The following is a 19376-nucleotide window of genomic DNA, read 5'->3' as shown; positions in this document are numbered from 1 at the left end:
CAAAAATGCACAAAGGGCTAAAAAACTTCATCAAGTTAAAAAGCTTCTGCACAGCAAATGACACGATCAACAAAGTGAAGAGACAATCCACAGAATGAGAGAAAATATCTGCAAGCTATCTATTTGACAAGAAATTAATAACCAGAATATATATGAAGCTCAAACAACTCTATAGGGAAAAAAATCTAATAATCCAATTTAAAAATGGGCAAAGGATTTGAGTAGACATTTCTCAAAAGGAGACCTATAAATAGCAAACAGGTATATGAAAAGGTGCTCAACATCATTGATCATCAGAGAAATGCAAATCAAAACTACAACGAGATATCATCTCACCTCAGTTAAAATGGCTTATATCCAAAAGACGGACAATAACAAATGCTGGCAAGGATGTAGAGAAAGAAGAACCTTTGTAACACTGTTGGTGGGAATGCAAATTAGTACAACCACTATGGAGAACAGTCTGAAGGTTCCTCAAAAAGCAAAAAATAGAGGTACAATATGATCCAGCAATCCCACTGCTAGGTATATATTCAAAAGAAAGAAAATCAGTATGCTGAAGAGATATCTGCACTCCATGTTTATTACAGCACTATTTACAATAGCCAAGATTTGGAAGCAACCTGTGTCCATCAACAGATGAATGGATTAAAAAATGTGGTACATATACACAATGGAGTACTATTCAACCATAAAAAGAATGAGATAGTGTCATTTGCAACAACATGGAATGGAACTGGAAGTCATTATCTTAAGTGAAATAAGCCAGGCACAGAAACACAAACTTCCTGTATTCTCACTTATTCGTGCGAGTTAAAAATTAAAATAATTGAACTGAAAGAGGTGGAGACTAGAATGATGGTTACCAGAGGCTGGGAAGGCTAGTAGGGGAGGGGAGGAAGTGGGGATGGTTAAAGGGTACAAAAAATAGAAAGAATGAATTAGATCTAGTATTTGCTAGCATAACAGGGTGACTAAAGTCAATAATAATTTAATTGTACATTTAAAAATAACAAAAAGACTATATGATTGTTTGTAACACAAAGGATAAATGCTTAAGGTGAAGGATACCGCCTTTACCCTGATATGGTTATTACTTATTGCATGCCTGTATTAAAATGTCTCATATATCCTATAAATATGTATACCTACTATGTGTCCACAAAAATTAAAAAAACAAAAACAAAAGACAAATTCCTTCCAAATCAAGAGATTTTCCTGCAAGCAGAGAGGTTGATATCTACATAGTTTGAAGCAACCCCAATGGGAACCCCATAGTTATAGAAACACCAATAATCCTAATTATCAGTTATAGTAATCCTAATTATCAGTTATAGTAATCCTAATTATTGGGGTTACTATATATTATGAAATGTTATGAATTAGGATTATTGAGGTTACCATAGAGCTTATGACATATTAGTGTTGAAAGAGAACTCAGTTATAAAAAAGGAATTCTATCCAGATGCCAAAGGCTTTTGTGGAGAGGATTGAAAGGTATCCTGTCATTAAATGATAGTTATCCACCTTCGGAAGCAAACAGGCCCCCAATCACTTGGTCAGTTTCCTGTAATTGTCACAAATGACTGTCTGTTCTAGAGTCTGAGCTCTGTCGCTCCACAATTGGCTTCTATCCTGAACTCTATTTAGAGATCACAGGCTAAATTGGGTCTTTGGAGTACTTCGCTTTCAACTTCCATAACTTCAGTGGAACTTTGACTTCTTAGTATTAGACATCCTTAAGCAAAAACTTTCCTCTGCATTTCAAATTTGAAATTAGGGTAGTATTTCTTTTTTTTTTTTTTTGAAGAGGAGTCTCGCTCTGTCGCCCAGGCTGGAGTACAGTGGCGCGATCTCGGCTCACTGCAAGCTCCGCCTCCCAGGTTCACGCCATTCCCTGCCTCAGCCTCCCCAGTAGCTGGGACTACAGGCGCCCGCCACCCCGCTCGGCTAATTTTTTGTATTTTTAGTAGAGACGGGGTTTCACCATGTTAGCCAGGATGGTCTCCATCTCCTGACCTCGTGATCCGCCTGCCTCAGCCTCCCAAAGTGCTGGGATTACAGGCGTGAGCCACCGTGCCCGGCCAATTAGGGTAGTATTTCTAAATGGCTCAGCCTGCATCAGCATAAGCAGTGAATAGTAGGACATTGGGAAGATATATTGTCTTAGTCAATTTGGGCTGTTATTTAAAAATACCATAGGCCAGGCATGGTAGCTCACGTCAGTAATCCTAGCACTTTGGGAGGCTGAGGTGAGAAGATCACTTGAGCCCAGGAGTTGGAGACCAGGCTGGGCAACATAGGGAGATCCTATCTCTACACAAAATAAAACTATCTGGGTGTGGTGGTACACACCTGTAGTCCCAGCTACTTGGGAGGCTTAGGTGGGAGGATCACTTGAGCCTGGGAGACTGAGATTGCAGTGAGCTGTGATTATGCCACTGCACCCTAGCCTGAGTAACAAAGCGAGACCTTGTTAAACACAAAAAACAAAAAACAAAAAAACCATAAACTAAGTGGCTTATAAAGAACGAAAATTTATTTCTCACAGTTTGGAGGCTGGGAAGTCCAGGATGAATGCACTGGCAGATTCAGTGTCTGGTGAGGGCCCACTTCCTGGTTCACAGATGGCTGTCTTTCTGCTGTTTCCTCATCTGGTAGAATGGGTAAGGGAGCTCTCTGGGGCCTTTTTTCTAAGAGCACTAATCCCATTCATGAGGGCTCCACACTCACTATCTAATCATCTCCCAAAGGCCCTACCTCCAAATATCATCACATAGGGATTAAGATTTCAACTTACGAATTTTGGGGGAATACATTCAGTCTATAGCATGTATGAAAGGGTGCAGGTGGTCTTAGAGATGATAAAACAGAACACAGAACTTTCAGAATTTTGAGAGTCTATATATGGCTGACACTTGAATGCTCATTAAATGGGTGAATACACATCCTGTAAAGCATTTATTCGTAGCAGGTTATTATTATTTCACTGATAGTATCCACTGTCCACTTTTTAGATAATGATGCTGTTCTTAGTTAAGAGTCATATCAAAGTGAGTGTAAAGACCAATGCTCTCTACTTGGCTTTTATAAAGTATTTTCTGCCCTGAAAAAATTAAAGCTAGGAATTACAGCAGAGTCATTGATGCAGACATGTCTTTGGTGAATGCCTTCGTGAAGTGGGAGAGGAGCATTTTAAGTTACTAAGAACATCTAGGACTATGTGATAAAATTTGGATATTTCATGCCAAAAATAGACAAATTTTGCTTGTGCTACGATGCAAAGACTGCCACCATCCAATCCAACATGTTATTATAATATGTGACCTAGATTTCATTCTTTCTTCAAAGTTGAAATATTATTCACATTATAAAATTCATCCTTTTACAGTGTACAATTCAATGGTTTCTAGTCTATTCACAAGGCTGTACGACTGTTACTACTGTCTAATTCCAGAACATTTTCATCACCCCAAAAGGAAAACATTATACTTAGAAGCAGTCACTCTCACCAGTCCCTGAAAACCACTAATCTATTTTCTGTCTCCATGGAGTTGCTTATTCTAGACATTACACATAAATGGAATCATACAATATGTGGCCTTTTGTGTCTGGCTTCTTTCTCTTGGGATAAGTGTTTTCAAGTTTCACGTAGGTTGTAGCATATATCAGTACTTCGTTCCTTTTGGCCATGGCATGAGCTTCTGCAGTATCCTCTTACCTGGTCTTCCTGCTTCTATTCAGGTCCCCCAGAGCCTGCTCTTCACTGAAGCTGGAGTGATCTTTTTCAAATATAATTCAGATCATCTCACTCCTCTTCTTTAAATCCTCCAAAGGCTTCCCATTTTACTTAGAGAAAAATCTGAACTCATTATTATGGCCTCTAAGACTCATCAATGATCAAGACCCTACCCTGCCTACTTCACTGACCTCAGCTCCCCACACTCCATTCAGTCACTCCGTGCCAGCTACAGTGGCTTCCTTCTGCTCCTTAAAGCTTTGAGACTTGTTTCTGCCTTGGGACCTTTGCACTTGATGGTCCCTCTGTCTGGGGTTCCTTTTTCACAGTTCTTCCCATAACTCATTCCTTCTCATCATTCAGGCCTCCCATAACCCCTCCTCAGAGAGGCATGCCTAGTTGATCCTAGCTCAAGTATCTTTCCCCCAACTGCCAGCCACCTTCTATTATTTCATTACCCTGGTTTAATTTCTTTTATAGCATTTGCTACTAGCTGAAATTGCTAATTTTAAAATTTACTTTCTTATTATCTGACTCCCTTGAAAATCTGCCAGCTCCAAGGCAGAGACATCACTGCTATATCCCAAGCTCCCAGAATGGAGCCCAGTTCGATTAATATTTGAAGGACTTCATGACTTCACCTTGCCTAGAACCCTTAAATTTGCCAGATCTTGCCTCTACTCTTAGTTCCTGAAGCTGGATCTCTTTGCTTATTACTAGACTTCCCTATGGCCAACTGACTGTATATGTGTATATATGTATGTGTGTATATATGTATGTATGTATATATGTATTCATTCATTCATTCATCCACTCATAGAGACACAGTTTCACTCTGTTGCCCAGGCTGGAGTGTAGTGGCACAATCATAGCTCACTGCAACCTCAAATTCCTGGGCTCAAGCAATCCACCTGCCTCAGCCTCCTGAGTAGCTAGGACTACAGGTGCACGCCACTGCATCCAACTAAATTTTCTTCTTATGTTTTGTAGAGATGAGGTTTCATTATGTTACCCAGGCTGGTCTTGGACTCCTGGCCACAAGTGATCCTCCTACCTTAGCCTCCCAAAGCTTTGGGATTACAGGCATGAAATACCACTTAGTTGCCTGACTGGTTTCCATCTATTGCTGACTCTCTCATTCTCCTGATATCCCACTCTCCTCCCCTTCTTAATCCTTTCCATGACAACTTTTCTAGACATCTCTATCACAAGCTAGTAGGTCTTGCTAATCTGCAGGCCCTTGACCAATTGAACCTTCATTGTTATAGATTGTCAGCAGAAAGCAAAGTCCAGTTTCCAATTTGTGGTGAAGAATGCAAGAGATAATAGGTGAGAGGAATCAGCATGGCATTAAGAATCAAACTTTCAATCTGATACAGAATAAATGGAAATGCTCTCAAAGCTGTTATATATGGATATACAAGCTCAACTTAAATGAATGTGAATTTAGAAGTACAGATTGGAATGTCTGTAACTAAATTATCAAGGGACCACTTCAGTGATCTGGGATTTCACTTCTTTGCAATGCTTGGACAAAGGGGTACCTGTGGAATCAGCTTCCATTTAGTCATCTGTTCCCAGAGGAATCCAGTGCCTATCTGCCCCCACTTTCCCTACTCCCCTATCTATTTTCTCGTATCATTCAAGTCACATAATGGCATGACCTTCAAGCCTGCAAGTCTTTTCCTGAACATTTCTTCAAAAATAACAACTCATATTAAAAATAATGGAAGAAATAGGGAGAAAATATTTGCCACATATTTAATCAAACAAATGTTCCCAAATACATAAAGCATTGTTATAATGAATAAGAAAAAAGCTAACAACCCAATGGGGGAAAATGGGCGAAATAAATTTCCACTGAGATATTTCACAGAAGAGGAAGCAATAATGGCCAATAATTCGTGGAAAATTACTCAACCTCTTTAGTAAACTGGAATTGCAAATTAAGTCCACAATAAGAAGTCACACTCGCTGGGCTCGGCAGCTTATGTCTATAGTCCCAACACTTTGGGAGGCTGAGGCAGGGGGATTACCTGAGGTCAAGCGTTCGAAGACCAGCCTGGCCAACATGGTGAAACTTCATCTTTACTAAAAATACAAAAATTAGCCAGGTGTGGTGGTGCACACCTGTAGTCCCAACTACTTAGGAGGCTGAGACAGGAGGATCCCTTGAACTGGGAGGCAGAGGTTGCAGTGAGCCAAGATCGTGCCACTGCACTCCAGCCTGGGTGACAGAGTGAGACTCCATCTCGGAAAAAAAAAAAGAAAAGAAGTCACACTCACCAGACGGACAAAGGTTTTTGCATGAATGAATAGCCATGGAAACTTCATTCATGGTTGGTGGGAATGTAAATTGGTATAACACTTTGGAAAACAATGTAAAACAGAGTTTAGCTAGATCATCCCCTGTGACCTAATAACTCCACTCCTGGGAATATTCCTCAGAAAACTCTTGCACATGTACACTAGGGGGCATGTACAAGAACATTCCAAGCAGCCTGGTTCATGCAGGAAAAGAAAAAAAAAAACCTTTAATACACAAGTTGCTTATTTTGCTGAGCTGCTGGGGATATAAAAAACATTGAGCCCACTGTTTGAGGCTTCTCTGCTCTGGCTGACATTTCACTCTCACACTGGCTGCTGGGACTGGTGATCTTTCAGAGCACCTCTGGGAGACACCAGGAAGAAGGTCACGGGGAAGCAGAGCCATGTTCACTTGCTTGCATCTGTAGGTCATTTACATCCTTTGTGCTTTCTTTTTTTTTTTTTTTTTTTTTTTTTACTACTTTGGTAATAAATCAAAGTACAAGAACCTTGAATCCAGTATTTTCTCACCCATCCTTGAACTTGGACCAGACGCTAAAATCCAGCCTTTCTTACATGCTTCCTGTGTATAAAGAACTTAAAGAAGGTGGCCATTATTTTTTTTTTACCTAATCTATCAGGTTTTCTCCTGCCTCTCTTCGTATTTCTGACAGAGCACTATCCCAATCTGCCTTGTAATTCAGCTATTTGAGTAAGGGTTTAGGGTCCTTTACCAAATTGTAACTGTCACTAAATCTTGTATCCCCAAAGCTCGGGTCTTGTTTACAGTAGGTTGAACTGTATGTGCCTGATACATTAAAACTCTTGATTGAGGGAGAAGTATCTTGGTGGAGTAGAATAGCCAGTGGCTTCCTTACATGCTGACAGCCTTGAGCAGATTGTTTAATCTCTCCTGGCATCATAATGAGAATTTCAGTACTTTTACATCCCAGAGATGCCATGAATATTAAATAAAATAGCATGAGAAAATGCCTGACGCAAAAATGCCCCTTCAAAAATGTTAATGTACTTCCTGCCCTTTCCTCAGCGTTCCTCACCTTTCAAAGGGAGGTCAAATAAGACCGGTTTTCGCCGGTTTTCACACACTGGGGCCTATGGCGCGGGGGAGAGGGGGCGGGGAGGGGCGGTGCGGGGGCAGGAGGAGCATCAGGAAAAATAGCTAATGCATGCTGGGCTTAATTCCTAGCTGACGGGTTGATAGGTGTAGCAAACCACCATGGAACACGTTTAGCTATGGAACAAACCTGCACATCCTGCGCATGTAACCCCGTAACTTGAAATAATAATAATAATAATAATAAAGACCAGTTTTCCCTCTTTCTATAGAAGGAAATTAGGATGTATTAGCTGGTGTCCTGGAAGAGGCTGCTTCCTGAACGTTTCCAATCAAGGAAATAAAGGAAAGTATAGAGATGGAAAGAGGGAGTCAGGTCACGGTAGAAATCAGGATGCAATAGCAGCAGAAATGCATAGAAAAAGGAGTTTCCTTAGGCTTGGAAATCCGTAGGATAACCAGCGCTCCAGACCAGTTAGAAATGTGTGTGTGTGGTCAAGCCCCAGCAGTCCTTTCTTCTTTGTCCTTTATTAACAGGCAACTGCATTTCCCTAAGGGGTCTGTGATTTTGCAGGAATTTGGGGGAGGGTCGATAGCATCAACATCACAGTTGAACCAACACTGCCCTGATATGCACCAGGCATTGCGCTTGGAACTGGGGATAAACCGGGGAACAAAACAGAGGTGCTTCCACAGAGGTGCGTACTAGTGACTGCCGGAGCTCTGGAAGAGGTGAAGGAGAAAGGGTGTCCCACGTAGACCCAGGACACCAGAGAGCGTCGCCACTACCAAGTTTAAAAACTCAGACGGCCTGGTTTGCCATCCACACCCTGTTCCCAGTCCAGTCCTTCCAAAGGTGGGAATGGTGCATTATTTAAATTCCATTCTCTTTATCCCAGAGCGAAAATGCGTGGTACTCGGGTCAGAAACTCAGGCTAGGGGGCTCGGGTCCTGCTGCAGGGTGGGGCGCGGGCAGGCAGCGGGGCGGGGTGAGGCGAGGTAGGCCGGGGGCGGCAGGCGGCGAGGTGACGCGCGGCGGGGACCGCGCAGCCCAGCCCACTTGTGCGCGAGATTTAAAAGTTGGCGGCTCGCCGGGCGCTCAGTCCTGTGTCCGGGCCCCGAGGCACAGCCAGGGCACCAGGTGGAGCACCAGCTACGCGTGGCGCAGCGCAGCGTCCCTAGCACCGAGCCTCCCGCAGCCGCCGAGATGCTGCGAACAGAGAGCTGCCGCCCCAGGTCGCCCGCCGGACAGGTGGCCGCGGCGTCCCCGCTCCTGCTGCTGCTGCTGCTGCTCGCCTGGTGCGCGGGCGCCTGCCGAGGTAAGACGGCCCCGCACCCGGCCGCTTCCACGCCATGCGCGCCTCTCTCTGGCTCCACTCACCGCTCTCCTCCACCCTCTTTCTCTCACCTTTACTTGGCTTCTGGGACTTCACTTGGCTTCTCTGGTGCCGCGGGGTTTCCCGCCTCCCAGGCACAGGTCGCCTCCCCAGGGCAACTAGCGACGTAGGAGCAAGGGGCCCGGCCAGGGCCGAAATACCCAGGCCCTGCTCGTTGATGCCCAGCGGAGACCCTGCGCCGGGCCGGCTGCGATAGATGGAGACTGGTAGGGTTCCCTCATCCTCGGGATTTCCAGACCCCCCGGCCCGTGGAAACGGGTACTAAAATAGTGAACATTAAAATGTTTTCCCTTTGATTGCAATTATTGGAGAGATTGATGGTTGAAGCAAAACAAGAGTGAGTTTGATACTTCATCCGCTGAGGCAAGGTAAACTTGGCGAGTGCTCAGCCTCTTTGGTGAGTGAGCTAGTGTTATGCTGAGATAAACCTGAGCGGTACAACGGGCCCCACGCTAACCGCTTAGAAGGGAAGGAGTGGGCTTTGTGCCTTATCGGTTTTCAGGCACTAGATCAGGAAAAGGAATAGAGAACTTCTCATCACATAAAGTCGGAGAGGCAAGTGTGCAAGCCAGGCTTTCAGGCAGTGCGACAGCTACAGCAAGTGATGGCAGATGTGATTTGATAACAATAGGGACATGCTGAGCTTGGCTTAGAGGGAAGAAATAGGAAACGCAAGGTCAGGGAAGGAGATCTGAAGCTTTGGAGACATAGCCGAGCAGAACGCAAACGTTCCAGGGGAGATATCATTTTCTGGGTTCTCTAAGGGTTACAGCTTACGTTTGCAGGTGCCTTATGGGGACCGTCATTCATCCCCAAGTCAGGGTTCCCTCCATTGCCAACCACTGCCTGGCTATACATTTTCTAGCTTGGCAGAAGGTTCTCTTAGCTTCCCTCTGCTCTCCTGTCGTGAGGTAAAAGTGGCAGACTGTTGTGTCATTGTTCAGAACGTTGGGTACTTAAAATCACAACTGCAGAGCCTGTAGTCCAGCCCTCAATTAGAGATGGGGAAATAGAGACCATTATTCTTTTCCTAATCTATGTATTTTTATTATTCTCCTCTCATTGTTTTGATTTTGTCCTTTCCTGAGGCATTGGAGGGGGGTGTGTGTGTGAGAGAGAGAGAGACAGAAAGAGAGACTCCCCTACTTGAAAAGCAAGATAACTTGGCTTTGAAATCCAGGCAGTCAGAAGCTAGCAGACCTAAACCTTCTCCACATAGCCAGTAGTGATACAACATGACTTTCCCCCAAGGTAAATGTTCATCTTTTAGGATTTTAAATATATTATTGGTAACTTAGGATGGTAATCTTTATCTGCCTTCTTAAGGATGCTGATAAGCATAGTTTGAAAACTGACTTTGCTATGTAAAGAAAATGGCTTTCTATGCATTTGCATGCTATATGCTTGCAGTGAATTTTGCATGCAGTGAAATTTGCATCAGAGATAACTGCCTTGGGGTGGGTTGGAGAATTTCAGACTGCTGTTGATTGAACAGTAACTGTAGAAGGCAGCAGCTGGTTCCTAAAAGAGATGAGTCTTGGTTTATATTTCCAAAAGAGCATATCTGCTGACATACCAATCGTCTCATAAACATCCCCAATATTTTTCAAGTAAAAGAATGAGATACTTCTTTTACTACCCAGAGGCCCCTAGATTGCCCTTTTGTGTCTTCATTCCCCTTCAGACCTGCTCTGAATACTAAAAAAACTAATTTTATCTCTTTAAAAATGTGGTAGGAAGGGCAGAGGGTGAATAGCCATGTGATCTGCCCCAGTCCTGAATCCCTAAAGATGGCACCGAGGGGGGCGTGACATACATAAACAAAACCCAGAGATTATCTACCATGATCAATCATCATGCAAGATGCAACTGGATGCCTCGAAAAACAACATAACAAATGTCGCAACGCCAGAGGAAAATAAAAGTGTCACTAAATGCAGCATCCTTGGCAAAAAACAAACAAACAAAAAACAATTAGAGCATACAATGGCCATGCGAAGATAAAGGGTCAGCCACAGATTCAGTGGGTGGAAACAATTTACTATTCAGAGAACACTAGTAAAATAAAGAAGGAAACTTCCTATAAGAGGAACACATTTTGAATATCTGCAACAAACTGTTACTTGATTTTGCCTGTGACAATAAGTTATCAAATGGTCAAGACTAAGTTAAGGAGTGTCTTTTCCTGCCCAGGCCTCTTGCTCATAGAATAATTCTTAATGTTCACTTGGCAGTAACGATTTCTCACTTCCCAATCCGACAGTGAAGTACATACTCACAATGAGAAAAGAAAATTGGTGCTACTTTTAGAATAATCAGGTCTGTCTTTCTTATACATAATGTACTTACGGATATACAAGTTATTATTTCCAGCGTATACTGTGTAAGAATGAAGATTTCACTTTAGTAGATAGTAATGAAGTATAAATATCTTGAAGTTTCTCAGTGAAACTTATCAAAAACAGTACAGTTTTTATGATACAGGCACTGTCTCTGAAAACATGGAAAGTGACCTAATTACAGTATTGCTCTTTGACAGTATGAAGTCCATATCCAGAATGAAAATCACATTGACTCTAATTAACACATAGACAAAAAAAAAGAATAACTCCTCCTTATGTTTGGGTTCAGTCATAGGATATTAGTCGCTTTCTTTTTTTTTTTTTTCTTTTTTGTTGGAGACAGAATCTCGATCTGTTGCCCAGGCCGGAGTGCAGTGGTGCCATCTGGGCTCACTGCAAGCTCCGCCTCCCGGGTTCATGCCATTCTCCTGCCTCAGCCTCCCGAATAGCTGGGACTACAGGTGCCCGCCACCATGCCCGGCTAATTTTTTTGTATTTTTAGTAGAGACGAGGTTTCACCATGTTAGCCAGGATCGTCTCAATCTCCTGACCTGGTGATATGCCCGCCTTGGCCTCTCAAAGTGCTGGGATTACAGGTGTGAGCCACTGCACCCAGCCAGGATATTAGTCGTTTTCTATAAATTATAGAATTTTTTTTTAATTTTGTTTCCTCTCCTTTTTTTTTTTTTTCCACAGTGAAACTGTGTTTACGTGTTTTTTAGAAGAGCCACAAAATACCCTTTTTCTATTTTATGGAAGTGCCTGGGGCTAAGTTAGGCATAGTGGCCTTTCTAAGTGGCCCATGCAAGCTTGGGAAATGGAAAGAAGCAAACTCTCCATGGTTCTGATGAGGCGGTGTGTCTGAACACAGTGAAGTTGAGGTGGAAACTTCCACTTTTACTGGGGGTCGGGGATGGTCAAAAGTATAAGAATAAAAATTAGCATTATTTAAACAGGAATGCTGTGTCAAACAGAATCTCATTTAGTGAGGTCACCAGGTGTTTTATATGGAAATTTGAGAAGCACAGCTTTATCCCTTCCTGAAAACAATGAGCTCAGGGTAGGATCTACCAGATAACTGTGACTTTGGGATATATGTTTGTGGTAGGGTGAGAAATATATAATTGAGAAGTGTGTAAGATTGTTTACCCACTTTGAATAGTTGTCCCATGAAAGGGGATTCTGTCAGGTTCTGAAATAAACCAACTCTTTTATGGACTGCATGACCTTTATAAGTTATTTCTAATGCTTAGTACCACAGAAAATGTAGTTGATTACTGTCATTATTATTGTTGTTATTAGAACTTAAATGAAATAATAGTAAAAACTTGTATGAATTCAAGGCAAGAGTTGCCTAAAACATGGTAGAATTAGGAAAAAAAAATCTATCAGGATATGCAATCAACCAGACTGATTTTCTGAGTTTTTAGGGCACCCATCATCCGAGTGGTGTACACTGTACCCAATATGTAGTCTTTTATCCCCCAACCCCCTCCTAGCCTCCACCTCCGAGTCCCCAAAGTCCATTACATTACTCTATGTTTTGTGTCCTCATAGCTTAGCTCCCACTTATAAGTGGTAACATATGGCATTTAGTTTCCCATTCCTTCACTTCAAATAATGGCCTCTGGCTCCATCCAAGTTGCTGCAAAAGACATTACTTTGTTTCTTTTTATGGCTGAGAGATAGTCCATGGTGTATATATTGACCACATTTTCTTTATCCACTTGTTGGTCAATAGGCACTTAGGTTGTTTCCATATCTTTGCAGTTGCAAATTGTGCTGCTATAAACATGTGTGTGCATGTGTCTTTTTCATATAATGACTTCTTTTCCTTTGGATGGATACCCAGTAATGGGATTGCTGGATCAAACTGTAGATCTACTTTTGGTTCTTTAAGGAATTTCCATACTGTTTTCCATAGTGGTTGTACTAGTTTACATTCCCACCAGTAGTGTAAAAGTTTTCCCTTTTTACACATCCATGCCAACATCTATTGTTTTTTGACTTTTTAATTATGGCTGTTCTTGCAGGAGTAAGGTGTTATCTTGTGGTTTTAATTTGCATTTCCCTGATGATTAGTGATGCTGAGCATTTTTTTCATATGTTTGTTGGCTGTTTGTGTATCTTCTTTTGAGAAATGTCTATTCATGTCCTTTGCCAACTTTTTGATGGGATTGTTTTTTCTCACTGATTTGAGTTCCTCATAGATTCTGGATACTAGTCCTTTGTTGGATGCATAGTTTGCAAATATTTTCTCCTACTCTGTGGGTTGTCTGTTTACTCTGCTAATTATTTCTTTTGCTGTGCAAAAGCCTTTTAGTTTAATTAGGTCCCATTTATTTATTTTTGTTTTTGTTGCATTTGCTTTTGGGGTTTTAGTCATGAATTCTTTGCCTAATCCAATGTCCAAAAGAGTTTTTCCAATGGACCTTCTAGAATTGTTATGGTCTCAAGTCTTATATTTAAGTCTTTGATAGGTCTTGAGTTGATTTTTAAGGTGAGAGATAAGGATCCACTTTCATTCTTCTGTATGTGGCTTGTCAGTTTTCCTAGCACCATTTATTGAATAGGGTGTCCTTTCTCCAATTTATGTTTTTGTATACTTGTTGAAGAATAGTTGGTTTTAAGTATTTGGCTTTCTTTCTTTGTTCTCTATTCTTTTCCGTTAGTCTAAATGCCTATTTTTATACCAGTACCATACTGTTTTGGTAACTATAGGCTTATAGTATAATTTGAAGTCCAGTAATGTGATGCCTCCAGAAGTATTCTTTTTGCTTAGTATTGCTTTGGCTGTGTGGGCTCTTTTTGGTTTTATGTGAATTTTAGGATTGTTTTTTCTAGTTCTGTAAAAAATGATGTTGGTGTTTTGATGGGAATTGCATTGAATCTGTAGATTGCTTTGGGCAGTATGGTCATTTTCATAATATTCATTCTTCCAATTCATGAGCATGAGATGTGTTTCTATTTGTCTGTAGACATAAGTAATTCGTTCTTGAGAGTAATATCTTCGTAATGTTATTAAGGTTTATTTAGTAATTATGTCTCCTTGTACTAAGTCAAATGCTGAAATATTGAAATAGGTGGGTGATGATGTACAGTGAAAAATGAAGAAAGTGTGCGAGAAAGAATTATATATGGATATTTAATTTTAGAAGAAATGCTATAAAATTAATCTGTGGCTACAACTTTATTTTTAGGTGCTCCAATATTACCTCAAGGATTACAGCCTGAACAACAGCTACAGTTGTGGAATGAGGTAAGGAACTATCATCACACAAATTTGTAGAAACTTTACCCTTCTTTGAAATTATCATGTTAAAATGTATAATTGAGCTTTGGGAGAACTATGATTTTACCAACACTCTAATAATAAAACCCAGAATTACTATTTTTATTAAATAAAAGAGAAGGAGAGAAGAAACAAAAATTTTGTAAATAAGAGAGCAGAAATAAGTCCTAATAATAGGATATAATAGAGTAATACAAGAACAGAGTAGTTACAGTAAATGTGTATGTACTTAAAAGACAGAGATTCTAAGATTGGATTTTTTTAATAGATCCAGAAATATATTGTCTATCAGTATCACACTTAAAACAGAAAACAAAAAAAAGACTAAGTATAAAAGGATGGAAAATGATATAGCAAGCAAATATAAACTGAAAGGGAATATATCTCATCAAATAGAATTCAAATGAACCATCATAACAGACAAATAAGGATCTTATATGTTAATAAAAGAAAACCAGAACAAGAAAATATAGACATCATTAATATAAACTAATAATGTAACCTTAAAATTTATTTAACAACTGATAGACCTTCAGGGAAAAAAATAGGTAAATCAACAGTTATAGTTGGAGAGTTTAATACACCTGTCTCAAAAACTGACAGTTAAAGCAGATAGCTCATAAGTAGCTATAACAACGACATAATCATACAATTAATAAATTAGAGCTACTGGAAATATTTTTCACTACTTGGGAGGCTGAAATGGGAGGATTACTTCCGCCCAGGAATTTTTTTTTTTTTTTTTTTTTTTTTGAGACATGGTCTTGCTGTCACCATGCTGGAGTGCAGTGGCTCTATCTCCGCTCACTGCAACCTCCGCCTCCCGGGTTCAAGCGATTCTCCCACCTCAGCCTCCCAAGTAGCTGGGAGTACAGGCGCACACCATCATGCCCAGCTAATTTTTGTATTTTTAGTAGAGACGGGGTTTCACCATGTTGGCCAGGATGGTCTCCATCTCTTGACCTCATGATCCACCCACCTCAGCCTCCCAAAGTGCTGGGATTACAGGCAGGAGCCACCGCACCCGACCACTTCAGCCCAGGAATTTAAGACCAGTCTGGACAACATAGTGAAACCCCATTTCAGGAAAAAAAAAAGACAGAACTATTGTTTAAAACCTGCACTAAATAGTATACACATTCTCGTTGTGTATAATTGGAGCATCTGAAAAACAGAATGTGTTAGACAGAAAGGAAGAGTCCATAAGTTAGAAAAAATATGCCTTCCAAATGTTTTCCAGTTATAATGCAATAAAATTAGAAATTAATAACAAAGTATAACAAATATCTCTTCTGTTTGGATATATATAGTATTTTGGTAAATAACCCTGGGCTAAAAAGAAAATTACAAAATTTGTTTAACAACTGATAGACCTTCAGGGAAAAAAATAAAAACATTATAACTCAAAATGTATAAGCTATAGCTAAAACAGTAGCTAGAGAGAAATTTTAGCTTCATATATATTTATTGGGGAGAAGAAAATTTAAAAACATTAATAAGCTAAGCATTCTGCTAAAAATGAGGTGAAAAAGAACAGGGAAAATTAAAAAAAAACAGGAATGAAGTAAATAATAAAAATAAGGCCGGGTGTGGTGGCTCACACCTGTAATCCCAGCACTTTGTGAGGCTGAGGTGGGTGGATCACAAGATCAGGAGCTCGAGACCAGCCCGGCCAACATAGTAAAACTTTGTCTACTAATAACACAAAAATTATCCGGGCATGGTGCCTGTAATCCCAGCTACTCAGGAGGCTGAGGCAAGAGAATCACTTGAGCCTGGGAAGCGGAGGTTGCAGTGAGCCGAGATGGCACCACTGCACTCCAGCCTGGGTGACAGAGTGAGACTCCATCTCAAAAAATAAATAATAATAATAATAATAATAATAATGGCAGAAATAAATTTTAAAAGGAGAGCGGAGCAACAGTTTTAACAAAACCATATATTTGTTCTTTCAGTAAGTTAAGCGCTGGTAGTACTGATTTCAAAAGGCAGGGGGAAGTCAAAAAAACAAGATATAGACCAAAAAAGGGTAGAACCCAAGAAAAATAGAGATATAAAAAAAGTTTTAAAATAATTTTATGGATAATTGACTGCGTGATGGATGGTTGCTCAACTCTGTAAATACACTAAAAACCATTGAGTTGTACACTTTAAATGGGTGAATTGTATGGCTTGTGGATTATATCTCAGTAAAGCTGTTAAAAAGAAAGTATGGATGGCTATCTGGTAATAATTTTGAAATTAGATGAAATGGATAAACTCCTAGATAAATATGCTGTGCCAAAAAAGGTCCAGTGGTAATATGATAAGCACTGAAGGAACAATTTCTTCTTTCCTTGTATCACTGGCCAAGGCCTGCTTACTATCTTACACAGTAAATGTATCTAAAGCTTTTCCATAAAGTATAAACTTGCTCTAGAAGTTTGATACATAACCTTTACCCAGTTAAGAAAGTTCTCTTATTTTCCTGTCTTGCTAAGAGTTTTGTTAATCCTAAATAAAATGTGAACTTAAATACTTTATTTGTGTCACTATCGAGATAAGCAATATGCTTTTTCTCTTCTAGTCTATAACTGCAATGAATTGCATTAACAAACTTCTTGCTCTTGAACTATTAGAACTCGTTTGAGAGTTCAGGAGATTTTTGGATTTTGGATATAATACCAATATACATTTCTTTTCACTAGGCAAAAGTAACGTAAAAGTACAGTTTAAAATATTGTAGTACACACAATGGTGACAAAATCTGTAAGTATTTAGAAATTAACCAAAAATACACTCTAAATTTATGGAGTAGAAAACTAATTTCTAATGAAGAAAATAGATGATGATATATATATTTGGAGCGACATTCTCTCTTGGATGAAACAATTAATTTAATATAATAAAAATATCAATTTTCCTCATTAATTAATATAAATCCCATAAAATCAATGCAATCCCAAACAATTTCATTTACTTTAAAAAAAAAAACTTTAAAATTTAACCTAAAATTGATTTGGAAAAATAAAGGTCTACAATTAGCTGAAAACATTTTAAATATGAACAGCTACTCGTGGGAACTTGCCTTATCAGATACTGAGACATAGTATAAAAACTGCAGTAATAAAAAAAAAAAGGCATGGTAATTTCACAAGAACAGACAGAATGAACCAATGGAACAGAGACTAGAGCTTGGAGAGAATAGCAGTCACCACCAGTACCTGTCATATCCCTTTGGCATTTGCCATCCCAGGGTACTGGAAATTTATAGTTTCTGACTGCAAGCATCCATGGCTCTTCCTGTGCTGCCTGTGCTTGCGCCAGCCAGAAGTGCCTGAGAATAAATGACTGCACCGCTGACAGCAGACCCCAGTTGAGGACCAAAGGGAGTTGGTGGATGAATGCCTTTGCCACCTCACCCCTAAAGAAAGAAATATAAAAGGTAAATTATAGAGTTAGTAGAAAATCATATAGGGCAATATCTTTGTTAGGAGCAGGGAAAAACTTCTTGATGAAACTTCAAATATAAATCGTAAGAAACTTCAAATATAAATCGTAAGGCCAAAAACATTCATGAATTAAATTACATTAAAAATAAAACTTCTTTCAGCAAAGGACTACATGGAAAAAGGTAAGGGCCTTTGTTGGTTTTTTGTTTGTTTGTTTTGTTTTTGTTTTTGAGACAGGGTCTCGCTCTGTTGCCCAGGCTGGAGTACAGTGGCATGACCTCAGCTCACTGCAACCTCCCCCTCCTCGGGTTCAAGTGATTCTCGTGTCTCAGCCTCCTGAGTAGCTGGGACTACAGGCACGTGCCACCACGGCCGGCTAATTTTTTTGTATTTTAAGTGGAGACAGGGTCTTGCCATGTTGGCCAGGCTGGTCTCAAACTCTTGACCTCAAGTGATCCGCCCACCTTGGCTTCCCAAAGTGCTAGAATTACAGGTGTGAGCCACCCTGCCCAGCCTTTGAAAGAAGATATTGACAATGTCTAAAACTGGTAAGGGGTTGCTTTTCTGGAATATACAAGAAACTACACCAAATCAATTGGATAAAGATAAGACTTCAAAATAAAAATAGTCAAAGGATAAGAACAGTTTACAGAAGAGGAAGTTCAAAAGGTTAACAAACATCTAAAACATATAAAGATGTTCATTAGTAACAATGAAATGAAAATTGGGACAAGAGCAAAGTGTCACTTTCTACCTATTAGACTAGCAAAACAATTGAAATCTAGTTAATCGCAAATGTTAACAAGGATGTGGGGTCTACAAATTCTCATGCATTGCTGGGCAGACTGCCAACTGGTAGAGCCATCTGGAAAACAACCTAGATATCCCCACGATCCAGCATTCCCTCTCCTGGGTAGATAGCCCAAAGATATTCTCCCACAGATCCATAAGTGGAGGACAGATTCAAGGAGGTTGATTATAGCTTTGCTTGTAGTGGAAGGAAATGGAGGAAACCCAGCTGTCTGTCACTGGGGAGTGGATAGGCAACATGTGGTGGGCACACATCATAGAATCTACTACAGCACTTGAAGCAACACACTAGATAGACACCCAGCAACATGGATAGGTCTCAATGGACAGTGTTAAGTGGGAAAAAAGTGAGGAAATATACATGCACACAAAACAACAATATGGGTTTTACAAAAACATATACAAATGGAGGATATGCCTCAAATACACTGGAAGAGTTGCCTATAGGAGGGTGGAATGGGGGTAGGAAATGGAAATATAAAAAGAATAAATAAGTAAAGCAAGGCTAATGATGATAGTGAGCTATGAACTGAGAAGAGTACCCTTTGTACCTAGGTCACCCGCAACAAAATACATAAGGGAAAAGATAAGATAGATGCTAAGTGCCAAGTATAAAACAGTGTTCAATAGTATAGAAATTCATCAAGTGTATTACAAGGGCCTCTGCCTTGATAGAATATCTAGGTACATGCTAGAAATATAAATAAGATGAAGAGTGACTTAGATAACAGATATTAATGTATAGTACAGACACATTTATTTTAGCTTGAAATACTCTATATTTCCATGGAAAATAATTGGAAAAATACTTTAGATGATAATGCTGGAAAAAACTCAGACTTGCAAAAAAAAAGTATACATTCTTTTACAGAAAAAAATATATTTAAAGAAGTTAAGATGCAGCTGGGCAAGGTGACTCAGGCCTAATATCAGTTCTTTTTTTTTTTTTTTTTTTTTTAATTATACTTTAAGTTTTAGGGTAC

At 40.0% G+C, this 19376-nt stretch overlaps 1 protein-coding gene across 6 annotated transcripts in view, besides 4 other annotated features; it reads left to right on the top strand.

Moving 5' to 3' along the window:
* The first annotated feature begins 7727 nt into the window (after positions 1 to 7727).
* The window catches only part of NMU (neuromedin U), a 41563-nt gene continuing 29914 nt past the window's right edge, over positions 7728 to 19376 (top strand). For 4 of the 6 annotated variants that reach the window (XM_047449544.1, NM_001292045.2, NM_001292046.2 and 1 more), the window contains exons 1-2: positions 8223 to 8440; positions 14061 to 14119. In XM_047449544.1, the coding sequence (XP_047305500.1) occupies positions 8329 to 8440; positions 14061 to 14119 (171 nt within the window). In that variant the 5' untranslated portion in view covers positions 8223 to 8328. Of the gene's footprint in view, positions 7978 to 8222; positions 8441 to 8635; positions 8725 to 14060; positions 14120 to 19376 lie in introns of those variants that run through there. The other 2 variants (NR_120489.2, XM_011534368.4) reach the window with 2 other exon arrangements.
* Positions 8076 to 8345: a silencer, noted in NCBI's record as "silent region_15444". NCBI's record gives its function as "represses an Ori minimal core promoter by ATAC-STARR-seq in GM12878 lymphoblastoid cells {active_cell/tissue: GM12878}" and the evidence as "EXISTENCE:reporter gene assay evidence [ECO:0000049][PMID:35858748]".
* Positions 8076 to 8901: a biological region, named in NCBI's record as "NANOG-H3K4me1 hESC enhancer GRCh37_chr4:56501787-56502538".
* Positions 8150 to 8901: an enhancer, noted in NCBI's record as "NANOG-H3K4me1 hESC enhancer chr4:56501787-56502538 (GRCh37/hg19 assembly coordinates)". NCBI's record gives its function as "activates a minimal SCP1, AML or CMV promoter by ChIP-STARR-seq in naive H9 embryonic stem cells {active_cell/tissue: H9 hESC(naive)}" and the evidence as "EXISTENCE:reporter gene assay evidence [ECO:0000049][PMID:30033119]".
* Positions 8902 to 9653: an enhancer, noted in NCBI's record as "NANOG-H3K4me1 hESC enhancer chr4:56501035-56501786 (GRCh37/hg19 assembly coordinates)". NCBI's record gives its function as "activates a minimal SCP1, AML or CMV promoter by ChIP-STARR-seq in primed H9 embryonic stem cells {active_cell/tissue: H9 hESC(primed)}" and the evidence as "EXISTENCE:reporter gene assay evidence [ECO:0000049][PMID:30033119]".

The sequence above is a fragment of the Homo sapiens genome, chromosome 4 (assembly GCF_000001405.40).
Source record: "Homo sapiens chromosome 4, GRCh38.p14 Primary Assembly".
Classification (NCBI taxonomy): domain Eukaryota; kingdom Metazoa; phylum Chordata; class Mammalia; order Primates; family Hominidae; genus Homo; species Homo sapiens.
The sequence above is the reverse complement of the archived record's forward strand: the minus strand, read 5'-3'. Positions and strand labels throughout refer to the sequence as shown.